The sequence below is a fragment of the Homo sapiens genome, chromosome 1, assembly GCF_000001405.40.
Source record: "Homo sapiens chromosome 1, GRCh38.p14 Primary Assembly".
Taxonomy (NCBI): Eukaryota; Metazoa; Chordata; class Mammalia; order Primates; family Hominidae; genus Homo; species Homo sapiens.
In genome coordinates this window covers 87,939,863-87,943,243 of record NC_000001.11, presented here as the reverse complement: position 1 = coordinate 87,943,243, position 3,381 = coordinate 87,939,863, and the positions used below count along the sequence as shown (strand labels likewise).

Genomic DNA, 3,381 nt, shown 5'->3' with positions numbered 1-3,381 from the left:
ATCTCATTACAATTCCAGTCCTACCACCCTCATCCTTTAGGTTTCACTGTAAATGTTACCACCTGAGGAAGAAAGATATTCCTAAACTCCTAGATCAGGTCAAGTTCTCATATTCTACACTATAATGGAAACCTATTCTTGGTCTTTAGATCCCTTATCACAGATGTAATTAAATAATTCTACAACTATTTGTTTAATGTGCACTCCTTCAGCTAAAGCTTAAAATCCAGGAGAACAGGAACAATGACTATTCATGGTTGTTACCTCAAAGCATGGTTGTTGCCTCAAAGCATGGTTGTTGGAGTTAGGCTCCCTTCACTTAAATTCCTCCAGCTGGGTAACCTTGGAAAAATTACTCCCCTTCTCTGTGCCTCACTTCCTCTCTGTAAAGTGGAGATATTAAGAGTGTCTACCCCTTAGGGCTACATGAAGATAAAACGAGAAAATAAATGATGAAGTGCTACAGTTCAGTGCTTGAAATGGAATAATAGATGCTAGTTGTTGTAGGTGATAAATATTGGTTAAGTTAATATACAAATTGTTAATTAAGTGTCATGAAGCTTGTACAAGGCCTGGAATAATAGTAGACAATAAATATTAGTACCATCCTTCCTTCAGTATTTAAAGAATCTTCTAAGTACTCCTTTCTAGTCACCAAAGAAGCTGAAGGCAATGTTGAGTGTACAGAGCCATAAGGAAGAGATATGGAGTTTGTTATTATCCAAGTAGCTGACTCCTAAGCTGCTAACTGAGGTCATTTCTAAGGGAGAAAATCTTAAGGATGCTTACCACTGAGTGGTAAGGGATTGGGCAATAGATTGGGAAGGGAAAAGAGCCTTGGCAAGCTGAAGGCTTGAGGGCCAGGTTCATGCCATGAGTAACACGTGAAAGTAGCACACTGTGTGTGAGGACAGCCAGGGCCACTGGAATTTGTTGACTGATGCAATGAGAACTTGGAACAGAAGTAATAAAAAGAGCTGGGGCCCAGCAGGCCTTGGAAGACTGGAAGTAGTAGGAAATCAGAAGAGAATAAACAAGTTTCTAGGGGAATTTGAAGAACAAGAAAGAGAGGTAGTAGGCTCTTAATACCTGGCACTTCTCAGAGAAAAGAAAGAAACTTCTCATGACAAAAAAGCACAGAATGAAGAATGAAACCAATTCTGCCTCGGCTACCTGAGGTATACCTTTGTAACGTAAACCATCAGTGAGTAGGGGCAGGAATTAAAAGACAATTGGGATGATTTTCACAGGTGCTAAGATGCTGACATGGATAAGGTTTGACATCAGGAGTCATTGGGGGTTTGAGCTGAAATTCATGAAAGATTATAGGTCATCAAGGCAAGATAGAGAAGTGGAGGTGGAGCTGAAGAATTGCCAGTAAGGATCAAGTACAGATAATATAAATTACAGCCTTAAGGAGGCAGCTGATACATACATATATAAATATGAATCAAGAATACATGGGAACAAGAAAAGAGATTTTTTTGATGCTGCTGTCCAAGGTTCAGTGTGAAAGTTGACATATTCCCCTCAACCTAAGAGACTGGAGTAGCAGTGTATACATGACAAAGTTTTAGATACAGTAAAATTCATATGTGCTTTCCTGAATCTTTCTACCTAGCCATCAACTCCTTACCTCTACCAAGAGTGCACAGGTGAGGACTTGACATCTTAAGCACAGGATACAAATTGGCAGCCAGAAAGGAAAGGGTTAAAGAAGTGAAGTTTGTGACACAGCTGGGAGCCATTAACAATTAAGTTCTTGGACAGAAACGCAGCAGGAAGCTGAAGAGGGGCTGAAGAGGCACTATGGCCTCTAAAAAGCAAAAACTTGATTCAGAAATGAATGAACTGCCTTTACTAGTGAGCATTCAGGAAAACTCAAATTTCTCAACTAAGAATGAAGAGCAGAAACTGGTTGAGTCTATATTATGCCTACCCATAAAACAGGCATCTTAATAAGGAAGACAATAGAAAGTTAATAATTCTTAGAAATTTATATTTTAACAATACATAAAATAGGGGAATGGTACTGGCCTAATTTAAAAATCCTAGTTGGTGAGCCAGCATTAGGTACCCTAGGATCTTCCACCACTTGCATCACAGTTTGGTTTATTTTTGATGGCAAGAGGTTTGATCTTAGTGATAGAGTAGTAAATACAGTACTTTAGTGTGATATATTATCTCAGAGTTCTGAGGTCCCATGCTTTTTGCCTTGCTTTCTCCCTGCTTCTGCTCCCTTTACATTAAGGATCTCATCTTCCTACTGATTTCTGTTGTTCCCTTTCTACCCCACCAGGATCCATACTGTGCATTCAAGGTTCCCTAATCTCCTATAATGGAACTCAATTCATGACAAATGTGTAAATACTTATGGGCTACTTTATGTAGTCTCTCATCAATATTCTGTGAGACTTTTTCTGAAAAATTCTAGCCAATCCTCATTTGTCCTACCACCTGGAGTTCTCACGTGTATGTTCCAGCTCTGCCATGCCTCCTGATCCAAACAAATAATATTCAGTTTGGCACTTTATGTTGTCTTTGAGTCATTCCATTGTCTAATGTATAAAGTATTAACTTCTACTGAAGACTACAAACCACTTGATGTCAGGGACATGCGTCATAATTCATTTTTGTCTTCTGTACTGCTTTGCACAGTGCTATTTACACAATAGGTGCTTAAAGGGCAGCAAGTCCTTGCAGAACTGAAATGAGCACCTCCACGAGAAAACTGCGCAGGCTGCTTTGGAAGGTAGTAAACAGAGAAGGAGCAAAAGCATACATATGTTTACATATAAAATAGTAGGCCTGCTCAAGCAAGTCTTCCCTGAACAGGACCCTTAAGGAACATAACATAAGTCAATTGGAAGAATATACAGCCAACATGATTTATATGGCTTTCATAAGATTTAACACAAAATGAACATGAGAATAAGAACTCTTTCCCCATTTCATCACCATCTCCACCGTCTAGCACAACATGTGACACAGTAGGTGTTGAATGAATGAAGGTATGAAAATGCTCAGTACAGGGTCAGGGATAATATTAATAGTTGGCTGGATTAACCTGGGAATATTTCCCAGACAAATTGAGAAAATATTAATTCAATGATGAAAAAGGACGTAGTTTGAGGCTTCTCAGAGTGAGACTGCTTTGGCAAAGTTATGGATTAAGAAATCATAGGGAAGAAGAGATAGGAAAAGTCTTTTTCTTTTTAAGAAGGAAGGTTAAAGAATGGTATGGGAAGGGTGATCATGAGCCCCAGAAAGTGTGAGCATTGTAGAGGTGAATAAAAAAAGAGCAAGGTAGAGAATAACTTAAGTCAGTGGAGTCAAAAGTTTGAGAGGCCATCAGGAAGTTACAGCAATTAGGTGAAAGAA

General features: G+C 39.0%; 1 annotated feature.

Annotated features, from left to right (window-relative positions):
• Positions 1,494-2,190: an enhancer, noted in NCBI's record as "OCT4-NANOG hESC enhancer chr1:88406737-88407433 (GRCh37/hg19 assembly coordinates)". NCBI's record gives its function as "activates a minimal SCP1, AML or CMV promoter by ChIP-STARR-seq in primed H9 embryonic stem cells {active_cell/tissue: H9 hESC(primed)}" and the evidence as "EXISTENCE:reporter gene assay evidence [ECO:0000049][PMID:30033119]".